The sequence below is a fragment of the Homo sapiens genome, chromosome 13 (genome assembly GCF_000001405.40).
Source record: "Homo sapiens chromosome 13, GRCh38.p14 Primary Assembly".
Classification (NCBI taxonomy): domain Eukaryota; kingdom Metazoa; phylum Chordata; class Mammalia; order Primates; family Hominidae; genus Homo; species Homo sapiens.
In genome coordinates this window covers 102,284,298-102,308,542 of record NC_000013.11, presented here as the reverse complement: position 1 = coordinate 102,308,542, position 24,245 = coordinate 102,284,298, and the positions used below count along the sequence as shown (strand labels likewise).

The window sequence follows — 24,245 nt, the reverse complement described above, 5'->3', positions numbered from 1 at the left end:
ACATTATAAGAAGTTGATCAGACTTCCCCCTTTATACATCCTGTAAGTTTCTTTAGGGCCGTGGTGTTACCCAAATGTGTTACTGAAGCCCTTTTAACTTCTCTTGAAAGTTATAAAGTATAAATCAGTACCCCTGGAGAAATTATACCTGTTTGGATGTTCGTTGATGCTCATTATATTGATCTGCTCATAGTGGACATCCAATACATGTTGAGTCACTTTTGTAATCAGGATTGAATGTAAAAAGTGGGAACGTGATTGAAACTTTTTATTGTTAAACACAAATATCCTCAGTTGTCCACTTGGTGGATGTGCAGCCCACCCTCTGCCAATGGAGAGGATCTTGAGTATCTTAGGGAGATATCTGGCTTGATCCAACGTCTGGAAATCTGTTAACTGAAATAGTCTTCTGAAGGTTCTTAGGGAAAGGACATCTTCAGGTAGCCACACATTGTTGATGCCAGCCCAGCCTTCTGGTGTCTCGAGGACACCCTGGATGTCTGAGAGGGCCTGTTCTGAGGTCAGTTCTGGCTTTAGCAGCACTATTTGTTCATTGTGAGACACCTTGAAAGTTATTAAAATTTTCTAGGCCCCAGGTTTCTTATCTGAAAATGGGGTGCTATTGGGGCATTAGTGCACTAGTGAATGGGAGGTACTTGGCCTATTACCTAGAACACAGTATATTCCTAATAAATGCTTGCTCCTGTTAGAGAGCTGCAATGGGGGTTGAGTGGCCGTGGCACCTTATGGATATCCTTTCTGTCTCAATTCCCTCATCTGTAAAATGGGAATCGTAATAGAAGTTGCTTTATAAGAATGTTGTGAAGATTAAATGAATTAATACATGAAAATGATTGGTACAGTGCCTATCACATCCTAACATACATGTACATATACTAAAAATATTAGTGATTATTATTGCTATGTGAAGCACTTAGTACAATAACAAGTACATGGTGTGTCCTCAATAAATGGTACCACTTATTAGTCTTAAAAGTTCATAAAAATAAGTGGTACCAACATTTCTGGATATTGTACAGAATTTAGTTTTATAAACTCAAATTATAAGCCAGTTCTTGTGACTCCATTTTTAAGTGACAAACAGAATTTATTGGTGTATTAGTTTTTTTAATGCTGCTGTAACAAATTCCCACAGATTTGGTGGCATAAAGCAGTACAAATTTATGATCAAACAGTTCTGCAGGTCAGAAGTCTCCTGTGGATCTCACCTGGCTAAAATGAAGGCATCAGGGGCCTGCGTTCCTTTCCGGAGGTTCTCAGACAGAGTTCATTTATTGCTCACTTGGATGTTGGAAAAGTTAGGTTCCATATGGTCATGGGATTGAGCTCTCCACTTCCTTGTTGGCTGTCAGCTGGAGGCCTCTCTTATGTTCTAGAAGCCTCTCTGCCATCCTTGCTTGTGCTCTGCTACATCGAATTCATGTCACGCTGCCATCTCTTTGACCACAGCTGGGAAATCTCCACTTTTAAGGCCTCCTATGATTGAACTGGGCCCACTTTATAGGATTAGATTGGACCCAGAGAAATGCCCTGGGTCATTCAGGATACTCTTTCCATCTCGAGGTCCTTACCCTTAATCACTTCTGCAGCACCCTCTTTGCCATGTATGATAATATGGGCACAGATTCTGAAATTAGGACGTGGACGTATTTGCAGGGGGTGGTCTTTATTGTGCATACAAGTTAGAATGTGAAAATATATGACTCTGGCCTTTTTCTGATAGATGGTGGATAGTTCTAATTAAGTATACTGTGCACTGCAAATTTCATTGTTCAAAAGGTTAAAAGGCCTGAACACTTTGAGAGTAGGTATGCTAATTTCTTTCTTCATTCTTTTGGCCTTATGGGCCCTTGAGAAATACTTATGTGATTATTATTTTTTAAGCAATGTTTTGGGCACACAGTCTTACTTTGCAGAAGCTCCAGCTTTGTGGCATAGGGTCCCCTCTTACCTTGTCAAAGCCAGCTGTCCATTGATGAGCTTCTGCCTAAAGACCAAACTCCAAGGTCATGATTTTCATGACATCCTTTTTCTGTAATGCTCTGTTCAGCCTGTTTAGTACCTATTTTTTCCAGAAGGCCTGATTCTTCTCTTTGTCTTCCCCTCCATCATCTGCCTTCTCTCAAGCATGATATGTCTTCCCTGCCCTGCAATGTCTATGCGTATGCTTGAATCTCCCACTGATCATGAGCTGCTCCACAGCCAGGAATGGCTCTTCATCTTCTTTGTATCCTTAGCACCAAATACAGTGCCTGGTAGAAGATAAGATGCAATGTGTGTTGGCTGTATTCCAGTGTACTGATTAGAAGAAGAGTATTTGTCTAATCTGTCACTCAGTAGTGATCTATTGGCCAAAACCAGGATGCAAAACTTGGGGCCAGAGGCAGAGCCATAAATAGACACAGTTCTGGTAACCTAGGGGTTTACAGCCCAATTTCTAGGGAAGCATCAAAGTGGTACCTCTCCGACAAAATGAGTTGTATATTCCTCATTAGGGGATGAATGCTAAATGCTTTATTTGTGGGCAGGGCAGGGCATTGAAATTATTTAGCATTTATCTCCTAAATGCTTCCCCAGGGCTTCAAAAGAGAAGCCAAATATTATCCTCATGTCTGTTGTCTTCAATTTTAGATTTACAGCAGTTCTTCTCTGTAATGTGTGATATAACAAGACCAGAGTAAATATTGGCAACCTTAGGTGCATCTATAAGTTGGGTATACCCTATTTCATCTGTTTACTTCAATATCTGAAAATTGACTGCAGTTGACAATGTGGGTTCACTTGGCTGAGTTCACTCTCTGTAATATCACTCCAAGGAGGATGTCATAAATCAGGAAGAAGAAAAATTAGTTTAGAATGACTGAACTCATATGTGGAATGATTTATGTTCAAATTTCTAGTTGGTTTAGCAAACTTGTATTTATATAAGGAAGTAAAATACTGATGTAATTACAATGCTATTCTGATATTAACACCAAACTTTCATCCTTAAGGCAAATATTTCTGTTTTAGTCCTGGTCTTGATATTTTCTTTCATAATCACACCCTGACATTGTCTTTAAGCTTCTGTATTGTGCATCTGTTTCTATCGTAGGCAATCCACATTTGATTGGTTATTATTATATTTTAAAGCAGGGCTACTGCATTAACAGCAGAAAATTATGCTTCTTAATTTTTTTTTAAAGTTCAGAGTTTAAAGTTTAAAGTCATTGGAGCTCTGTTTTTTTAAATTAGTTAGGCTATTTGTGCTATTTTACAAACTTATTGAAATACTGATATTTAGGGCTCTACTGACAGAAGAAAAAGTCAGCTAAAAGCTTTTCATAAAGACTCATAATAAAAACTCTAAGCTTTGTAAAAAGACAAAATCATTGTTTTATCTGTTTTATATATCCAATACATTTTCAGTGCTGAGTTGAATTTCTACACAATTTTCTTTGTCATAGGACTCATGACTTTTCAGGTTTACTTTCCTTACAAATGGATTTTGTATGCACACTGTTTTAGTTATTTTTTGCTGCATAATAAATTTCCCCAAAACTCAGTAGTTTCAAACAGGAATAGACATTCATCATTTCACACAATTTCTGTGGGTCAGGAATTCAGGAGTGTCTTAGCTGGATGGTTCAGGCTCAGAGTCTTTTGTGAGGTTGTGGTTAGAGTGCTGGCTGAAGGCACAGTCACCTGAAGGTTGACTGAAGCTGGAGCACCCTCTTCTAAGATGGTGCCAGCATTTGGATAGCAAGTTGGTGCTGGTTGTTGGCAGGAGGCCTCAGTTCTTCACTAAGTAGACTTCATAGGGCTGCTTTTGTGTCCTCATGACATGATCACTGGCTTCCTCCAGAGAGAATAATCTAAGTGCAAGGCAGATAGCCCAGTGTCTTCTATGGCCTAATCTCAGCTACACAGGTTATCTTATTTGATATGAGAGGGGCCCATAGAAGAATGTGAATATCCAGAAGTGAGAATCACTGGAGTCCCTCTTGAAGGCTGGTTAGGACCACCGATTCCTTTTTCTTACTTCTTAAGCCTATCTGACTGAGTAATGGTGATTCTGCAAAATTTGAAAGTACAATTTCAATGTATTTAGGGTTGAATAGAGAACCCGTGTTAGGGAAGAATCAGGAGCTGGTAGAATGTAGAGTTGACAGTATTGGACATAGTAGGGCTGAATTTAGGATCAGAGTAGCAACAGGAATCTGAGGCAGGAAGACAATTCCAAAACAGAGTAGGTATTGAACCAAGTAGCATCTCAGGGTAGCTGCTTCCTTTAAGCAAGAAGTTCGTGGGGTTCAGTAGGAAGACAGGACTCTAGGGACTGGGTTTCAGAGAAGAAAGCAAGGTGTATACCTTGCTATTTATCATTAGAGAAAATAATGTAATAGATTTTTCTTGTTTGTGCATATGATGATGATGATGATGATGATGATTTGGGTTCAGTAGTGACTTGGCAAACTGATTTTAATAACTTGAACATTTGCATCAATAAACACCAACCAACTTTTGAGGGCTAAATTGAAGATATGCTAATTCCAAAGTCACAGCATTCATTTAGCAATGAATAAAGATATACTAATTGTCTAAAATCGCTGTTGGTAAATTTGTTGCTTAGCAAGCTACACAGCTTTTTGAATCTGATAAGTTATCATTCAGTGCTTTACCTACTGTGTGCAGTTTGAATTTTAAAGACACTAATTGCAGATGCTTATTAAGTGTTTAATGTACACTAAGGTCATTATCTAGGTTCGTGGCAGTGACACAACCATAAGATACATGGAATCAATTTAGAAAAACAATGGGTTGGGATGTGAAGTGAAGCAGGCTTGAGTGTCTGTCTCAAGTCCACCACATACTAGCTATAGCTGTGGGACATTTGGTGAGTTATTTGATTTCTGTTAGCCCTAACTTTCTTATTTGTAAAATTGGAGTTTACAGTACCTGCAAAATACTGAATGAACCTGATAGATGGCAAACACCCAATAAATGTTAGATTTGATTATTCATATAAATATCTTTTTAAAATTTCCACTCAATTATTCATTTGGCAATTCTTTATTGATTTCCTTTTATTTATAGTTTTGAAATCTGTGAAACAGAACTGAAAAAAATGATCAAATCCCCATCCTCATGGTGTGTTTATAACCATAAAGTAAGCACAACAATACAAAGTGTTTAAGATGGTGATCAATTCTATAAAGAAAATAAAACAGAAAAGGAGGAGAGCAAGTGCTTTCACTGTGGAGCAGATGCTGTTTTGTGTAGGATGGTTAAGGAAATCCTCACTGACATTTGCCCAGAGGACAGAAAGAGTGGCAGAAAGAGCATACAGGTGTCTGGGGAACACAGACAGTCTAGGCAAAGGGAGCAGCCAGCGCAGAGATGCCGAGGTGGGAGCATTCCTGGCTTGGGCAACATCAAGAAGTCCACTTTGGGTGGAGCAGAGTGAGTCGGGGAGAAAGTGGTAGGAGATGATGTCAGAGAAGCAGGATGTTCTTCTGGGGGCAGCTCATTTAGGACTTTGTAGGACATAGTGAGGGGTTTGCCTTTAACTCCTAGGGGACAGGAAAACACTGAAGGGTTTTGAGTGAAGGAGTGGCAGGATCTGACTTATGTTTTATAAGGACCACTCTGGCTATTGTGTAGGAATAGATGGCAGGGGCCAGATTTAGAATGAAATACTAGAGATTGTGCAGGCACAAGATAATGGTTGGGTGGACAAGGGTGGTTTTGGTGGAGAGAGTAGAGAGAGGTCAGATTCTGGACATATGCTGGAAGTAGACTTGACAGGAGTCAAAGATCATTCGAGTTATTTTGGCTTGAGCAACTGGGCAGAGAGAGTTATCACTGAGTTTGGGAGTTTGTGGGAAGATATCTGGCAGTTGGGAGCAAATGTCTGGGTTCAGACATGCAACATTTAAGAAGCTTTTAAGAGATGTCTAAGTGGAGGTGGTGAGCAGAGAGTTGGATTTCTGAGTCTGGAATTTGGGGCACAGGGTGAGGATTGGGGATGTAAATTTGGGAGTTGTTAGTAACTGAGTCCATGGCTCCACCTGGAAATCAGTATAGATAGTGACAAGGCCTGGTTTGGAGCTGGACTGTTGGGCAGGCTGATCTTTACAGCACAGGGATTTGAGGAAGAACCTGGAAAAACATCTGATGGGAGGAATGAGCAAGCATGATTCCTGAAGCCACATGGAAGAGTGTTTTAATAAAGAGGGGAGATTAATTGTATAAAACGCTGCTGATGGATCAAGTGAGATGTAACTGAGGATTAACCACTAATATATCTCCAACATGGTTAACTGGCACTCCATTCAATGCTCTGCAGAAAACAATTCAATATGCTAGATATAGTATTTTAAAAACCTTTTGAATTCTCCTTAATCTGGTAAGAAAGCAAAGAATACTCAAGGAGAAAAACTGCTGTGGTAATGCTCTTGAACAAGCAGTGTGAGGAAGGATCTGGGATACAGGTGGAGGAGGAGGCCCTATCTAAAAGTGTGGACATTTTGACAAAAGTAGCAGAAAGGAAGACAGAGTGTCTGGACACAGAGGCAGGTGGCTGTCAGATATGGTGGTGGGCATGTGTTCTTCCGATGACACTTCCTTTCTTTCTCAGTGAAGGCAGAAGTAAAACCATTATCTGAGAGTAAAGTGTGTGTGTGTGTGTGTGTGTGTGTGTGTGTGTGTGTGTGAAGTACAGGAAGATTTGAGAAGAAAGGAGGTATAGAATGATCTCCAGGGAATACTGTAAGATTGCCTTCCAGCACTAAAGGCGCACTTGAGGTTAGTCGTCATAGATTGAAGAAAAGTGTGCTTGTGGAGCTGCCTGTTTCCCCTCAGGTGTGCTCATCTGCATGCATGCAGAGGTGGAGTGAGTCCTGACTGGTAAGTCCAAGTTCAAGAGGGAATGGGTAAAGCAAGATGAGAGGGCAAGAGGGAGAGGACAGAAGCTCAGAAGTCAAAGCTTTCTGTTTTTCCACTTTGTCATGGACTATAATCCACCTCCTTTATTAATTTACATTTTTATCTACCTACCCCAATAGCTGAGGAGCCCATGTTTTATTTGGTGTTTCCAACATACTCTTAGCAGGTTTTATTGTCTGCAAAGTAGGAAATTCATAACTGTCAATTGAATTGTGTTTTCCTATTTTTCTTAGTCATTATACATCAGCTACATTATGTGAAATTTTGTTGAAAACTCTTTTTAAAAAGTCAACTCCATATAAATATGTATAAGGAACTATTCCATTCCAAAATGCTGCTTTTGATTATAGATATATCAGCAAGGCTGAGATAAATTAAACTTTTAACAATATGGCCAATTTTGTCAATTAAGTAGATGGATGAAACTAAATATTTCAATAAAGCATTTGGCCTGATCTATTTCATTTGACTGTTTACATTTTATCAAATTGACTCATTGCTTGCCAATTTTCCACTTTATTTTGAGGAAAGCCTAGAAGATGAAAAAAAGATAATAGCCTAATAGCCTTTTTCTTTTAAAAATAATTTCTATATAGTGATTATCAATTTGAAATGTTGTTAAGGTTAAACGTGTGTGTGTGTGTGTGTGTGTGTGTATGTGTGTGTGTGTGTGTCTGTGTGCATATTGGTAAGGACTTTGGGGCGTCAGGAAAACAGGGAATATAAGCAAATTTAGATCAGTGTTCTGTGATGGGCAAAAGATCCCTGAAAATCCTCTCATGTGTGATTATGTGAAATATAAAGGCTAACAACTAAAATAATTGCCTTTAGATATAGTAATATATAACTTTAGTCAACAAATATGCACTGTGTATCTTCTTGTGCCAGATATGGTACTGGGTAATGGGTACAGTATTTCAAACAAATCTAATATTCTTACTATGATAGAGCTTAAAATCTGATGGGGTTGTAAATTATAGTCCGTACGGAGATAGATTGGGCACACTTTGGTAACTGATTAGAGATGAGGGGCCAGGGAGAAAGGGTTATAGAAGATTATGTAGAAGTTTTGCTCTTGAGCAACTGAGAGGATGAGGTTGGCATTAACTTCTTTAGGGAATACAACAAGACTGTCAAATCTGGAGAAAGACACTTTTCAGCTGTTGAATAATTTGCTGAGGGGGGTACATATGGACATTTGTTTAGAAATGTCCAGCAGGTATTAGGTGAGATTCTCGAGGCATAGATTACATTTAACATGAGAAGAAGGCAGATATGTATGATGATGCTGTAGTTTTCAGCTGGAGAGAAGGGAAGATTTGAGGAAGCAACAAGAAGGTTGGTGGGAGAGATGAGTTATGAGCCAGGTTCTAAAGAGAAGAATGCTCACTGTTGCTCATTTATAAAACAATCAGTTCTGGTATATTTTAGGTATATAGTTGATTCTAGGCTTTGAATCTAAGGTTTGTATTTTCTTCACACGGCTGATTTTAAATTATATGAGAATGTAGCAGAAACTAGAAGTGTATTTTAAAACTGATTTTGGTGGTAGAACAGTTAGCTTAAAAATACCAGTTAAATAAAATTTAATTTCAAACACACGAATGATGAAATACACATATCCCAGAAGTTTGTTTAGGGATAAGATCAGCGAACTTTTAATGGTTCAATTCAATTTTTGTGTTCAGTTTACATATATGTTTTTCTCTCATATTTGTTTTTACTCATATTTTGTGTTACCCAAGTTGATGTGTTCTCAAAAATCTAACCTTCCTAGGGCCTAGAGCATTTCTTTGGTGCTGCCCCTCATCTTGTTTGCTTATTTCCTCATATTGTGCTTTTAGGCTCAAGGTTAATGCTTGTAGGAAGCAAAGAAAGGAAAAGAAACAGGGAGCCTATGCTATCCTGAGACCTCGCTTCCGGGGCCTCCTCCTTCCTTCTGTCACCATCCCTTTCCCTCTCCACCTCCCGCTGTCCAGCCAAGTCTCCTTGCCTAAATCGGGAAAGGTGCAGGTAGAAATTCAGGCAGCCCCAGTGGTTCTACTCCTGTTTGATTTTCCTCATGATCTCTTGCCTGCTTGCTAGCTGGGATTTCTGACAATAGTATGATCGTAATGGAAACAGAAAAGGTCCAGCCAAGCCACACGCTGAAATTCTCCTAACCTTTAAATGTGCACATGGCTTAATCCTAAGAAGCACTGCTTTTGGATTGTTTGCACTGCTTTATATTCTTAAGGTTTGGTTGCATCCATTTTGACTCCCCTGGATTGGTTTCTCAAGTATATTTTTATAAATACCCTATTTAAAAAAATCACTTCTCCAAACCATACTTCAGACTCAACCACCCTAATTTTTTAAGAAGCTTTTCGTTTTCGGTGAACAGCTGAATTTGTAAATAACCGTTGAATTTCATTTGTTGTATCCTTGGAGCATCTTGCTATTCTTTTGCTTAGAAAATTCTAACAGCTTGGAACTATTCAACTTCGATTAGAATGAGTTTTCTACCAATGTAGAAAAATCTGCTTTATCACCATCATTGAGAAAGATAGATTCTGTTAAGGAAGGTAAAGTATGTCTTAGTGATCTTGCTCTCAGCATAAAACAAGAAACAGATTCACGTCTAGTGTAATCTGTATAGTGCAGAATTTATTACCTAGAGGCCAAGAGAGAAGCACATCACATTTATTCAGTTCTCATCTTCGCTCCTACTTAAGAGTTCTTAGAAAATAGAGTCACTTAATTTTGAAGAAATGATGTTTTCTCAGACACCGGAATTTTAAAAAATAAAACAACATTTTAAAGCTCTTTTGTTCTTGGGGATATTTTTCCTCCAGCTTTCATGTGGCACTTTGCACTGTTCATCTAAGAAGCCACTTAACTAATCTGCTTCTTATAAGCAGCACAGTATAATTAGGCAATCACCCTTGTGTCTAGAGTCCACCAGGGAAAAAAAGGTGACAGAAGTGCACAACGCATTTATTATAAAACAGTGTAAAATAAAAACCGGAACTTACCAAATAAAGGACATATGGTAAAAGACATACTGTAAAATACTAACACATAAAAGGTAAAATGAAAAATCACCTTCAATAGAATGTCTTCGTTAGTCAATTGGGATCAGGAGCAACTGGTTAATTGAAAAGATAAATTCACAAAAATAGAGAGTAAAACAGGACAATTATTAAAAATGATACACACATGCCTTGAACATTTTATTTTATATTAAATATATAAATGCTCATTCATCAGTACTTTGAGATAGCTCCACCCTGTGTTCTTTGATTAGGGTTGAACTGATCTGAGTTCCTGCAGAAATCACACCCACGATCTATGATTTCTAATTTTGGTGTTTTTAAGTGGAGCAGAACTTGAAGAACATAAGCAAGCTGAGTGCAGCATCCTTCTTGATTTTCATGAGTTTTTTTCCCCCAGTCGTTTATGGCATGAGAACACATGTACTTAAATAAATACTCTTAGACATTTGCCTCTACCGGGTTTTGCCAAATCATCCAATCCATTTTTCATAGAAATAACTCTGTCTTTTGCAATTATACTTGTGATTTCAAAAATTCTTACACTGCAACAGTACAATGTGTATAAACAAAATTACGGCCATGTGTTGTTGAGACGAGAACTTCCCTGCATGCACATTCTGTGAGGGCATCCCAGCCACTGTGGCCAGCTTTCCACGGGCACCATCACATTGAACTGTAAAACAGAAGAGATAAAAAATAGTTTTGGTTCATTTAATAATGCAGTCATTAATGACTTCCTGGGATCAAGCCATCCTCCCACCTCAGCTTCCCAAGTAGCTGGGACTGCAGATGCACACCACCATGCCCTGCTAATTTTTTGATTGTTTTTTTTTTTTTATAGAGGTAGGATCTTGCTGTATTGCCCAGACTGGTCTCAAACTCCTGGGCTAAAGCAATCCTCCTGCCTCAGCCTCCCAAAGTGCTGGGATTATAAGCATGAACCCCTATGCCCTTTTTTATTTGTAATAAACCTTTTATTTCAGAATAGTTTTAGATTTACAGAAAAGTTGCAGAGAGAGTACAGAGTTCTCATTATATCCCACACCCAGCTTCCTCTTACATAGCCTCTTATGTAAGTATGTTACATTTGTCATAACTACTAATGAATCAATATTGATACATTATTACTAACTAAAGCCCACAATTTACTAGGATTTCATTAGTTTCTACCTAATGTCCTTTTCCTGTTCCAGTTTTCCATATAAGATACCATGTTACATTGAGTCGTCTGTCTTTTTAGGGGTCCTCTAGACTGTGACAGCTTTGCAAACTTTCCCTGTTTTTGATGGCCTGAACAGTTTTGAAGAGCTTTGGTTCAAGTATTTTGTAGAATGTTCTTCAATTTGAATTTGTCTGATATTTTCTTCATGTTTAGAAGAGTATTATGGGTTCTGGGGGGAGGAAAATCCGAGGTAAAATGCCACCTTTTCCCATCACTTGAAGGTTATCTACCAATACTATCAGTATGACTTATCACCATTGATGTTGACTTTGAGCACCTGTCTGAGCTAGCATAGTCATGTTATTCCACTGTAAAATTACTTTTTTTGTTGTTGTTGTTGTTGATTAAATGATTCTAGTAGGTAGATCATGGGTAAGATAACTTCTGCTATATTTGTGTGATTTTTATGCTGGGGTGATTTACTACACTAAAATGGAAACATGTAAATTATTTCAGCTATGTTATCTCCATGATAGAATGCAATAGTTTGGCCTCTTTATGAGGATTTCATGAATAGCTGAAAGGAGTGCACTTAATTTTGTCTTAGCACTGCTGCTGAATTCTAGTTTCCCTGGGTTGTTTCACATTTCTTGAGCTTTAGCATCTAACTGAAGTAAAGACAGTCTCCAAAGCTGCTTTTCTGGGGGAAGTGGTTTGGAAGGAGAAATGGAGAACTATGGATGCACAATTGTGCTTCTATAGTTGTGTGATTTAGGTCTTCAAGCTCAAGACTAAATATGCCATTCTTTGGTTCAGTTTTAGTTGAATCTGTGGTTAGCATTTTGATGACATTTTAATTTTTCTTATTACTCTTAAGTGCACTTAGCAAAAATTTAGTTGCTAATTGCCTTGCAGTACATCAGGGATTATCAAGGCCAATGAAGTGTCCATAAGTCCATTGCCCTATTCTGCAGACCACCCCAAAAATGCAAAGTGATTCCAATACGGTGTGCAGAGGGGTTTTGTGCACCAAGCTGCAAACCACGATAACTCAAAATCTTATACTTTTCAGAAGAAGTTGCAGAAATCCTAAGAAACAATTTTTTAATGAAGAGCCAGACTCCTACACTATGTCAATCTATTGGAAAACATTTTAATATAGAACACAAAGAGATCTCTAGAACTCAGAGACCATCTGTTTTCTTTGTGGGCCTGGGAGACATGATGAGAAATGTCACACCAACTTCATTTTACCTAAATATCTGAAGGGGATGCAAAACTTTTAATTGTAGAGTTGAAATATACAAATAACAATGGTTTTCTAACCTTCCAAAAGGAACAGAAACAGTGGTCCTGACAATGCAAACTCAGTTCTACATAACCAACATTAAGGAGCAACACGACTGAGGTCAATTCTTCTGTTTTTTTTCTTCTATAGTTCAAAGGGACTTTATTTTTCAACTCCATTTTGGATGGATAGGGAACTCAGGAATCTATTTTCGCAATCTCTGCATCATCTGGATGGCCTCAGTGTGAACTTGACCCAGAGCTGCTGAATGGTGTAAATATTTTACTGCCCATTCAGACATTATTTTATCGTTTCTGTCATTTTCTTGGTCGCTGCCCATTGCGGAGGTATTTGCTTCTGCTAATATGGTTGTATGAAGCAATGTGTTTTGGGTAAAAGCAATGTGGTGCTGTGAAAAAACCTTTGGAGAGAAAATCCTAAGACTTGGACTTTATGTTTCTCTCTGGTACTTCTAATTCTGTAATCTCAGGCAAGATCCTAGCCTTTGATTTTCAGTGCCCTGAGGGAGAATGAGGGAATAATTATGCCTGCTTCGCCGACCTTTAGAAAGTTGGTTTTAGGATCCATTGTGTAATAATTGTGCAAAGGTATCACAAACCACACAGTGCAAAGGTATCACAAACCACACAGTACCGTACAAGTCAAAGGACAAGAAAAAAACTTAAGGCTGCTAAGGGGCAAGGAAAAGTCTAGAGTAACTAGGAATCCTCTTTGCCTACACCACGAACCATTAGATATCACAGTGCATGGTGGAGTGATGATCTTTACTGTTCAGAAGATGTTGATGAGAGGGACAGAGACGAAAGTGAATTTGTAGATACGGTTGAGAACATCTCCATGCCCCGAGCTTAGATAAAAATGCGCTCCAGTGGCACCAGAATCGATAAGAAGTATAACTAACTGAGGAACAAATGCCTGGTGATAATCATAATGATGAAGAACCTCCTGTAGAAGTTGGACAACATGATTTTTATGGTTCTTTCTGGTTTTAAACTCCTATGGGTGGCCAACTTAAAATAATCATACCAACTACTTAAAGTAAAGTAATCCACAAACTGATGGGAGAAAAACAAATCAAAGTAGGTATTTTAAAATATTTTGAATAATAGCATTCACAATGAAATCACTTCAATTTTCAAGTTGAGAACATTAACACAGAGCTTACTCTGTGCCAGACATTGTTCTAAGTGCTATTGTAACTCATTTAGTCCTCACGGTAACCTCAGGAGGTAGATCAGGAAACTGAGGCACTGAGAGAGCCGTCTTTTGATAGAGGTCACACAGATGGTTCTGAGGGAGCCAGAACTTGGACAATGGCAGTCTAACTATATAGACTAGGGAAAAGTGAAACTAGAAAAATTTCACTAATATTATCAGAAGGAAACAGCTATTTTGACCACTGGAGAAATAGTGGAAATAAGAAAGGAGGGGAGGGCAAACAGAAATTGACAATCTAGTTCCCAGCAACCACTCAAATATTCAAACACAAGTGACAGAGTTCAAGCCAAGTGGATGCCACGGGGTTAAAAGAATGCCCCTGGAGTTAATATTTAGAATGTGTTTATTTTTAGAGATAACATGAAATAAATTCCCTGCTGATATTAAATAAATTTTTAAATAAAGCAGTCCTAGTAGTTTTCCTAATCATTCAGGATGTGTTTGTTTTTTTTTTTTGGACCAAACAGTCTTCTAGAAAAAAGCAGTGGAAGATGAAGATTAAGCAATGGAGAAAAGGCCTGTTATTTTAAGAAAATTAGTTGTTAAAAAGTCAGTGGAAGATGAAGATTAAGCAATGGAGAAAAGGCCTGTTATTTTAAGAAAATTAGTTGTTAAAAAGTCATAGAAAAGACATTTTATTTGAATAAATATGTTTTCCCATTGACTTGAGTACTTTAGTTGTAGCAGATCATTCATAGATTTATGCCATAAGATTTTGACTAGAGAAGCCTCTTGTATTATGATTGCATAACAACTGCTATGTTTCATTTGTTAATTTTTGCTTGGTATTTGTGGATGTTAAGTGTTTGTTCATTTTTTTCATATTTCAGATTTCAGGTTTCTACTTCTACATCTCCAGCCCTGAATACTCATGGAATATCGCTGTACCTATGACAGGTTGCATGATTTTTCCCCCTCTGTGCACTCAATTTGTGTATTATTGTATCATATGACATTCTGAATCAAGTGCTGCTAGTACCAAGCTGCTATCATCAGCTGATGCCAAAAATATTCGTTATAACACTTCTCAGCATGCAAGTGAGAGCACTTCAAATCACACAGACAGAATTTCCAGCCATTGTTCTTTTCTTCTTTGCTTATTATACAGCAACAAGAATCAAAACAAAAGGGGATTTATTAGAAAATAATGCTTCAGTAAAATGTTATAAAACATGAGGTTTATTGTTTGTGAAGATAGAGTGAAATTCAGTACCACATTATAGATACCACCTCAGAGGCCTATTTTCCCCTTCTTTTCTCTTTTCTCAAATGTTTTTCAAGTGGCATCTTTTTTTCAGTCTTTGATTACATTAAGGTGCAAACTATTTATCCATCTGGAAATAAGCAATACTGTCAACAGAGAACCAGGAAATGAAAAGTGCAGCCGGCCATATGCCTTCTCTACGGCCTCTTTATGTTACTGTGCTGATCAGGACAAATGCAGTACCTATGGTAGCAATAGGGAGAGTGAAAATATGTATTCTCCAAGGGAAGACAATTAAAAGACAAATTCCATCAGGAAGATTTGTCATTTTTTGAGAGTGCTGATCCTGCATCTATCAGCAAATTTCACATAAATTAATTCATTTTACAGAGTGAATGCTGAAACTTGGAAGCCAACTGACAAGATGCCAGGGATGGCATGGCAAGGAAGAGAGAGCCTTCATGGCAATTTTGAATACCTGATCTCTTGCTTTCATCATCTTGTCTAGGGGAAGAAACACGGAGCCTGGTAGTTGGGAGGTGAGAGGCAGGAATGGATACCAGAGATGGACAGACAGTGGGGTGGTGAGAAGGGAGCTGCAATTTGCTAATCCTTGTAGTACTACCTGTCAATCATCTTGCTTTCCTTAATCATCGATCCTGGAGAGACTTTGAGGAAAGGGCTGGTGGAGTTGCGCAGATGTGATCTTCATTTCAGCCTTATGAATACATACCAAGGTCTCTTTAAATCTGTGGTTCCTGCACAAAGTGCTGTGACTTCAGGCTAATAGAGAGGTCCAGATGTCACATGTGCCAATTAGAAAGAAATGAGGACCATGGCTATGGCCCACTGTGTTCAGAAGACACGCCCAAGCCACCCATTGTCATTCATTGTGTCTAATACTTGACCTGTCCTGCTGTTTATTATGTGGGGTGGCTCCATATTTTAAAAACTGTATTCATAAAAAGATATTTCTCATCCTGCTGAGTCTCAGGCCCATTGTTGTAGGTGAGGTGGTTTCTTTTGTTTGATATATAACGTTTTGCTGACTTTCGACTTGGGAATTGCAAAGGCTTACCCAAAACCCTGAAGGAAAAGCTAAGAATTCATACTTATTAAGCACTTGGTAGGTGTCTGACACTGTAGTAGATATATGCGAGAGCCCAGAACAAGCTGATGTCCATGTACATATCTTTAAAAAATATAATGATCTAGTCTTATCTGTGGAAACTGCTTCAGATACTGATCTTACTCTTTCCTGTTACATCAGAAATTCTGGAAGGTAATATCCTGAAAGATTTATCCTCAAGAATAACAATACATTAAAATCTTCTGCTTTGAAAATGCTTTGAAATTGTCAGTTTTTTTTTTTTTTTTTTTTTTTTTTTGCTATAGAGTATAAGGTAGGAAATATTTGGCAGGTAAAATGAGACATCCTCTCAACTCTGTCAGTTTTTGTCAATTTCTGGGATGATGAAAGATATGAGAACTAGAAGGCTGGTTTAGTACTGACTCCTGGTTTATGTTAAATAATGAAATGCAAGCCAGAAAAACAAATTGGCGGGGGCTCCGGCCAGCCAGCCATTCTGCAAGCGCTTGGGATTGGGCAAAGTGAGAGTCCAGGTCACAGACAAGGCCGGCTCTAATCCAGATAACTGTGGAGTCAGCATTAATGTGCTGACTCACTGCAGCGACTCTCAAGCATTTCTCTTACCCTTTAAATGCTTCCAAGTTTTATACTTTAAGTCCAAGTAGGCACCACAGGCACCATGTGGACAAGCAGGAGGGTCGGCCTGGGGTCCTACAATAAGTGATACCACCTCCCTTTTGAGGTGGTAAAAACCAGAGCATTGGAGGAGTCAGGGCAGAGGTGCAGACACCTTCCTGGGACCTGTTGAATCCTTTCAGGTGTACGTAGCTGCTGGGCTCTGAGCTCTGTATTTTTTTCCCAGCCTTATTCTTAGGGTCTGATTTTATTCCAATCAAGTCTTTAACATTCTTTCCTTGGTTTCTTCAGTATAGCACACCCCACAGTATGGTATTGTGTGGGGACTCTCAGCTTGATGGATGCTGATTTTTCTGGTTCTAAAAAATGTTATTTATTGATCTATCTATTTTAATTTACACCTATGCAGTTATTTATTTACTCTGGTGAATAGAGAACACATTCTTGACACGGGGAAGGAATACACTCCTTTAAGCTTCTCCTAGCACCACTGTGAAAACTTCTAGACTTTTTTTCCTCCCAAATCCTATGAACATGTTAGCGAGTTCCTCTCTGCCTTCTACTCAGAACTCAAAATACAGTTTCTCTAATCTGAAGGTAGGACCAAACCCCATATATAAAATTACCAGAGTAATATTTGTAAAGACAGTTTCAAAAGAAGAAAAGGCTTAATTGTAACTTGTAAATGATGGTTCATGAAGGAATGTAGATAATTTATAAGACTGGTTTGATTTCGTTGGTAGAAATATTTTCAACAGCGTGTGGCTGAAAAGTTAGAAAATTTCTATCAGTCATGCTTTTTAGCAAAGCATCTTTTTACTGCTTTTAGAGTCATGCACAAGAAAACATGCAGCTTACTAGCTATAAAATACTATTGCTCCATTTTAACTCTCTCTTTGTTTTGATTTTTTCTTTTTATTTTTCAAAATATTATTGGTTATAGAATTTGTACTTGGTTTCTGCAACATCTTATGCTCCCCTAAAGAACAATTCAAACTATATAGGTTTGCATAGATCCACAGAGTAGGTCTCACAAAGACAGAGTTATCCTTTGCTGCTGGTATGTCATTTTGTAGGCATGGTAGCTGTGGCAAGGGCTGGTGACAACTGCGTAGGGTGAAAATGACTATATGATTTTAAGGATTGTGGAGGGACGCAGCAATAAATCTGCTCTGGTAGGAGTGACAGTAGCCCTGGACCTAGCTCGGGGCTGTACCCTATCACTTACTCCAGAATAAAGCTGAAGACCACAGCCAAGTCTTGCATATGCAGAAGGACACAATACTACATTGGTGCTGGGCTCAGGCACAGCACTAGAATTTAATGGAAAAGTTGGTAGTTGGCACCAGAACAAAGTAGATCGGGTCCAGAGAGCCAAAGATATGTTTCTCTCAATCTTAGGAGACTGTTAACTGTTGCACTCAGGCTGCTCCAGGAAGGTAGCAGTGACAATTTTGATGATGTGCTGTGTGGCTTATTACCATTTGTCTTAGTCTGCTCAGGCTGCTATAAAACATACCCTAAGATGGGTAGCTTATAAGCTAAACAGAAGTTTATTGTCCAGTTCTGGAAGCTGGGATGTCCAATATCCAGGCACTGTCAGGGTAGGTGTCTGGTGAGGGCTCATACTCTGGCTCTTAGACAGTGCCTTTTCCTTGCTTCCTCAGGTGGTAGAAGGGACAAGAGAGCTGTCTGTTTCCTTTATAAAGGCACTAATCCCATTTGTGAGGGCTTCAGTCTTATGACCTAAGCACCTCCCAAAAATCTCACTTCGTAATCCCATTACCTTGGGGATTAGACTGTCAACATGTGAATTTTGAAGGGACATAATCATTCAGTTCATTGTACCATTTGAGTTACTCAACTGAGCTCTTCTTTGAAAACTAAGTCTCTTTCTAAATATCCTGAACTTAATAGAAATAACTTACCTTTTAAAGTAAGAATTACCCTTTAAGAATAGAATAACCCTCTCAGGCTACCACGTTCTGACTTCACTAGAATCTTAGAAAGAAAGAGAGAGAGAAAGGCAGAGAGAGAGAGAGGGAGGGAAAGAGAGAGAGAGAGAGACCAAAAAAATCATTCACACACGAACAAGGTAACCATGGTATTAAGAGAACCATAAATTATTTAGCAGTGATTCATCCTCTAAGCATGTGTTGAGCATGTACAATGTATAGAGCATTGTCTAAGGCCTGTACCTATGTTGGCAAATTAAGATATGACACAGAATCTCTTCTTATGGGTCTGAAAGTCTAATGCAGGGGTCAGCAAACTACGATCTGCAAGCTGAACCTACCTCCTACTGGTTTTCGTACAACCCTCAAGCTAAGACTGAAAAACACTAAAAGAAGACTAGTATTTTGTGTCATGTAAACAATTATGTGAATTTAATTTAGGGGTACAGACACTGAAATAAAATTTTATCATAACATAGCCATCCTTATTCTTTTACATATTGCCTATGATGTTTTTCATGTTATAATGTCCAACTTGAGTAGTTACATCAAATAACTTTTGGTGCACAAAGCCTAAAATATTTAATTTTAGCTCTTTACCAAAAGAGTTTCAATGGGTTTTCTAATGGTCTAGAAAGCCATTAATCAGATTATCACACCATTAAAAGTAAGCATGTGGGAAATGCTGGGAATGAATGGTGTATCAATGTATGAATGTGTACAATGAGATCTAGAAATATAGTGATGGCAAGCAGACCCATGGTGGAATTAAAACCTTCATCACTTTTTGTTTAATTCTTTACAGGGCTCACAAGAGACCACACTCAAGGAGTGATGAACAAATTTTAATTGGTAACATAATTCTAGTAATACTAAGTGTTGAGGAGTTTCTGACTGAATCCCTACTTCTCTGATGTTGAAGGTGTTGTAAGGCAAAGGGTCAATAAATCAATTTAGTGACATCCTATAATGCCCAGGCTTTCATTGGCTAACCTTGGCATTTATTGGTACTCCAATTGAAAAAAAAAAAGAAACCTGACAAATTCACAGAATATAGAGAAAAATGTTGAAGGATACAAGCTTTTAAAAATGAGAAAAGAGGGTGAGGAGTGGTGGCTCATGCCTGTAATCCCAGCATGTTGGGAGGCCAAGGCAGGCGGATCACTTGAGGTTAGGAGTTTGAGACCAGCCTGGCCAACATGGTGAAACCCCATCTCTACTAAAAATATAAAACTTAGCTGTACATTGTGGCAGGCGCCTGTAACCTCAGCTACTTGGGAGGCTGAGGCAGAAGAATTGCTTGAATCCAGGAGGTAGAGGTTGCAGTGAGCTGAGATCTTGCCACTGTACTCCAGCCTGGGTGACAGAGTGAGACGCCATCTCAAAAATAAAAATAAAAAAATTTTAAATAAATTTAAAAAAATGAGAAAAGACATCAGCTGTATAGATATATAAAAATATAGGAAATGTATTTTACTCCACAAATAAGCAAAAAGTGGATACTTTTGTGTCATGAAAGGACTATTTAAAATTTATGGGAATAATATTTTTCTTCTGAGAGAGTCAAAGTACTTGTTTTGTTTTAATTCTATGAATATTATTATGGAATAGTAAAAAAGTAAATCTCTTATGCTGCACTTAGAATTAATACAAAGTTAGATCTTTGAACCAGTTTTTCTGTTAATTATTGTGAATAACAGGATATGTGAGAATAAGGCTCACATTATTTGTTAGTTGTGACAAGTTGTTTTCACCAGTTTGCAGTAGATTTTAGTTGGCAATATTACATAAACATGACCACTTTATTAGCCTTTTCTAATTATGATTGAGGAAAATAAAAAAGCTGGAGAAAATGAAGTCATTGTTTCAAAGTAGTATTGAAATAAAATAAACTGTCATGGTCATGTAGAAGAGCCTTTGAATTTTTAGACTCTTAGAGAGATTCAACTTCAAAGACTACTTTATTCTCTGATGCAAATGCTTTTTATCATTCATCCTCAAAAGATATTATTAGTTCATTTGTGTGGCTTCAAAAGATTCTCATTTATTTATTGAACAAACAACTACTGAATGCCTACTGTGTGCCAGGCACTGCATCTGATGTTTGGAATAAGAAGACGATTAGAGAGTTTCTGCTGTGCTTAGGTAGTGGGAAGACAAAGGTAAAAAGTTGGACTCCAGTGGCCAGAGGATTATCCCCCCAAAGTTGTCTGTAATAAAGTAAGGGGTTTAGCATGGAAGTAAATGGAATAATATTGTCTGCATACATTTTATCTCTCACTTTTAAAATTTCATGTGATATATTTTATTAGCTCTTCTTCAGCCTTTCAGATTAAAAACAAGAACATTTAAAAATTAAACATTCAGTATTAGAAATTTGATCAACTAAGGTATTTTCTCATTGTGGAGATATAAGTTACTATGTAATCTGCTGTACTATTCTGGTCTGAAATTTAAATAAAACACAAGTCGAAAACATTTTGCAGAGGAGAAGAAAAAAAGGCATGGCCTTAATAGAGATGTTTTCAGAAAGAATTATCCCCTAAATTGCATGTCTACCTTTTAAGTAGTTACTAGGAAACAGATATGTTCATAGTGATTATAGTGATTATATCCAAATAATGTCATAAACTAAGGTGGCTTTGCTATTTAACCTCCAGTCACATTTAATTTCATTGTCTTAGTATTACACCAGACGCAGTACATGCAAGCATGCTGTGTACATGCACATTTACAGAACGGTCAAAGCAAAATCAAAGCCAGGGACTGTAGCCTTGAGTTACTAGCCTTCTTCCTAATCGCTATCACTATTTTTTTCTCTGAAATACTGTTTTGTTTTCTGTTTGTTCTTTTTTTTTATTGTACTTTAAGTTCTAGGGTACATGTGCACAACGTGCAGGTTCGTTACATATGTATACATGTGCCATGTTGGTGTGCTGCATCCATTAACTCGTCATTTACATTAGGTATATCTCCTAATGCTATCCCTCCCCCTCCCCCTCCCCCATGACTATTAAAGCTCAAATATCACAACCATTGTCAAGTATGTGTCAAAGATAGGGAGGGAATGACCAGGGATGCAATGTATTCTCACTAGGCTTGAGAGAATAAGGAAAATGTTTGCCTTCTTTAGAAATGAATCCCAGGGATTAGTCCATAGTGTGGCTCCTGTAGAATTATACAAAGTGCCTTTGACACATATTAAATGTTATTTATTTTAAATAACTAGTACTGGATTAGGATCACAGTCTTTTGTTGTAATACTGCAAACAATTACTGACTCAACAGTGAAATAATTCATTAGTCAGTATGGACTTATTGAGCATTTTCTTATGCACCACAAATAGTGGGTTGATGGAAGTTATGACATTCACGGATACATTTATTTAACAAGTACCCATTAGGCAATTTGTGTGAGCAAACACCATGATGAGCACTATGAGTTAAGCAATACTTATACATAGAGAGAAGTAATACTACATGGTCATTGGCCTCAGAGAATTCCCAGGTTAGTTACTCATGCAGAGAAGCAAAAACATTTCAATGAAATATGTGACTGAGTGTAAAGTACAGATGACAAATGCTGTAGCTATTTAGGTATTTAAGAGGAAAGGGGGCATTTTGTGGAAGAGGTGGAACTTGACCAGTTCCTATGTGATGGGTGAGCTTTGGGCAGCAGGGGGTTTCTTTCTGGGCAGCGGGAGGGGGCAGACTGGTGGGCGGGGGAGAACGTGGTCAGGGAAGTTGGTGCTAAATAGTTAGTGCTCATAATGCATGCAGGAGAGAGCTTGTGGACAAACCTGGTGAGAATATGGCAATGATTGCTTAGGAACGCTGGCCCCTAAATAAAAACATTCATGAACGAGACTACTTACCTCCCTCTACCAAGTTGGAGCCTGTTGTGAACAATGAGACCTATTTTGCTCTCTGAGGATGTTTTAGGAGTCTCAGACCAATGGTTCTGGATATAAATTCCAGTGAGTTTTCCTTCCTTCTTGATGCTGCTTTGCTATTGAATCCTGTTCCATGAGGGGTACCCCCTCCTTAGTCTTCCTCACCAATCCTCTATCTTGTACTACGATCTCTGCAACTCTGCAACCCTTTGCCTTGAAGTATCAGCCTTGACTTCATGTGTTACAAGCTGTTGTAACCTTAGGCAAATTACTTTCTTTCTCTTTGCTTCCATTTTTTCATTTGGAAAATGGGAATAAAAATAATACCTACCCTATTGTAAGTTGTAAGTATTTAAAATATTTAGAACAGTGCTGGGTACTGATTAAATGCTATCAATGTATTAAAAGGCATCAAGATATTATTTGGCTAGTTCACAGAGATTTATCTTATCCATTTGCTGAATAAACACAGGTCTAAAAATGTAGAGAGTTTGTGAAGAAAAATCATTAGAAATGTTGGAATGTAGTGTACTCTCAAACAGTTTAATATCAAAATACAGAAGAATTCAGGGCAGAGATTGTGTGGTATTAACTCTTAGTGTAACCTTCCAGGTTATTGAAGAACCGAGTTTATTGTTGATATAAGTCTTAACTAGCATTTACCCCACCAACTGTCAGTTCAGTCTAATTCCTGAAATTCACGGATGTAAACCATTCCAAGAAAGTGAGTTTTCTATAATTCTTATTATCTCCAGAAAAATAGCTACCAGAAATACATTTATATAACATCACACATTCCAGAAATTCTTCTTAATAAAATAAGTCTTCACTTCGAAGCAGAATGTATAACCAAAAAAATTGTATTAATCCAGGTACCAAGAACATTAATCAGATCACCAGAGGGATTTATTATGGACTCATGAGTATTATCCTTTGCTCTGTAAAAAATTTCCTCTGACATTAGGAAAGTATAAGTAGATGTGTTCTTGTGGCTGCAATTTCTAAATGAATAAATATGTTCAGTCATGGAGTCCTCCAAGGTTCATTCTTTTTTCTGTACTTTTTGTGTCTTTGGTGACTCTTCTTTTCCTTCTTTTTGAAAAATGTAATGTATACAGCTCAAAGTGGTGAGAAAGAGAAAGAGGGAGGGAGAGAGAGACGGAGGGGGAGAGAGAGAGAGAAATAGAAAAGGAAGAATGACAGGGTGAGAGAGAGCTAAGACTTAAACATTGACTATTTGCAATAAGAACCAATGATTATATTAATTATTTAGGGTCTTCTTTACTCCTCGGTAAAAAATACCATTTAATTTTTTAAAAGTAGGATTGTCTGCATCAAAACCATGAGTAAGCATTTATGTTTGATATTCCTGCTGGAATGCTTTAGTTTTGTGTTTCTATTATTTTATAGCTGACTGTCGAACTCAGATGGCTTTCTGTACTTGTACTTAATGCATAGAATTGTATTTAATCTAAAAAAATTCACACTGAAATTAATATTGTAAATTTCTTAAAATTTTAGAGTAAAAAAATCTAGAGAGCATCTAGACCAATTTCATTATTTTTAAATAATATTTTTTTCATTTTTTAATGTGAGAGGTCATTGCACTGTTTATTCCTTTATTGCTCATATTATGCAAAGGTTAAACTTTATCCAAAGTAAACTTTACTAATGAATTTTTTCATTAAGACTTTGCTACATTTATCATTAGGTTCTGCCTTATTTACCCAGCAACCCTAAGTCATTCCCGTCATCAACAAATTTTATTGAGGACTTCATAGAGTCCTTCATGAGG

The 24,245-nt window shown here is 37.8% G+C and overlaps 1 protein-coding gene and 2 long non-coding RNA genes across 24 annotated transcripts in view; 2 read left to right on the top strand and 1 right to left on the bottom strand.

The window, feature by feature from the left end:
* Nucleotides 1-16,223, top strand: part of FGF14-IT1 (FGF14 intronic transcript 1) — a 102,200-nt gene extending 85,977 nt beyond the window's left edge. Inside the window, exon 4 of the long non-coding RNA NR_036486.1 lies at nt 14,503-16,223. This is a non-coding gene — a long non-coding RNA (FGF14 intronic transcript 1). The remainder of the gene's footprint in view (nt 1-14,502) is intronic.
* The window catches only part of FGF14 (fibroblast growth factor 14), a 691,640-nt gene that overhangs the window by 93,901 nt on the left and 573,494 nt on the right, over nt 1-24,245 (top strand). Inside the window, exon 2 of one of the 21 annotated variants that reach the window (NM_001321941.2) lies at nt 14,503-14,569. The exons of the other annotated variants lie outside the window; for them this stretch is intronic. Coding sequence (NP_001308870.1) covers nt 14,563-14,569 — 7 coding nt within the window. The 5' untranslated portion in view covers nt 14,503-14,562. The remainder of the gene's footprint in view (nt 1-14,502; nt 14,570-24,245) is intronic. 21 annotated transcript variants of the gene reach the window in all.
* LOC107984615 (uncharacterized) overlaps nt 1-24,245 on the bottom strand; it is a 34,537-nt gene that overhangs the window by 4,282 nt on the left and 6,010 nt on the right. Inside the window, exons 2-4 of one of the 2 annotated variants that reach the window (XR_007063856.1) lie at nt 10,525-10,656; nt 10,033-10,075; nt 7,060-7,124 (exon numbers count right to left, since the gene is read on the bottom strand). This is a non-coding gene — a long non-coding RNA (uncharacterized LOC107984615). The remainder of the gene's footprint in view (nt 1-7,059; nt 7,125-10,032; nt 10,076-10,524; nt 10,657-24,245) is intronic. The other variant, XR_001750082.3, reaches the window with a different exon arrangement.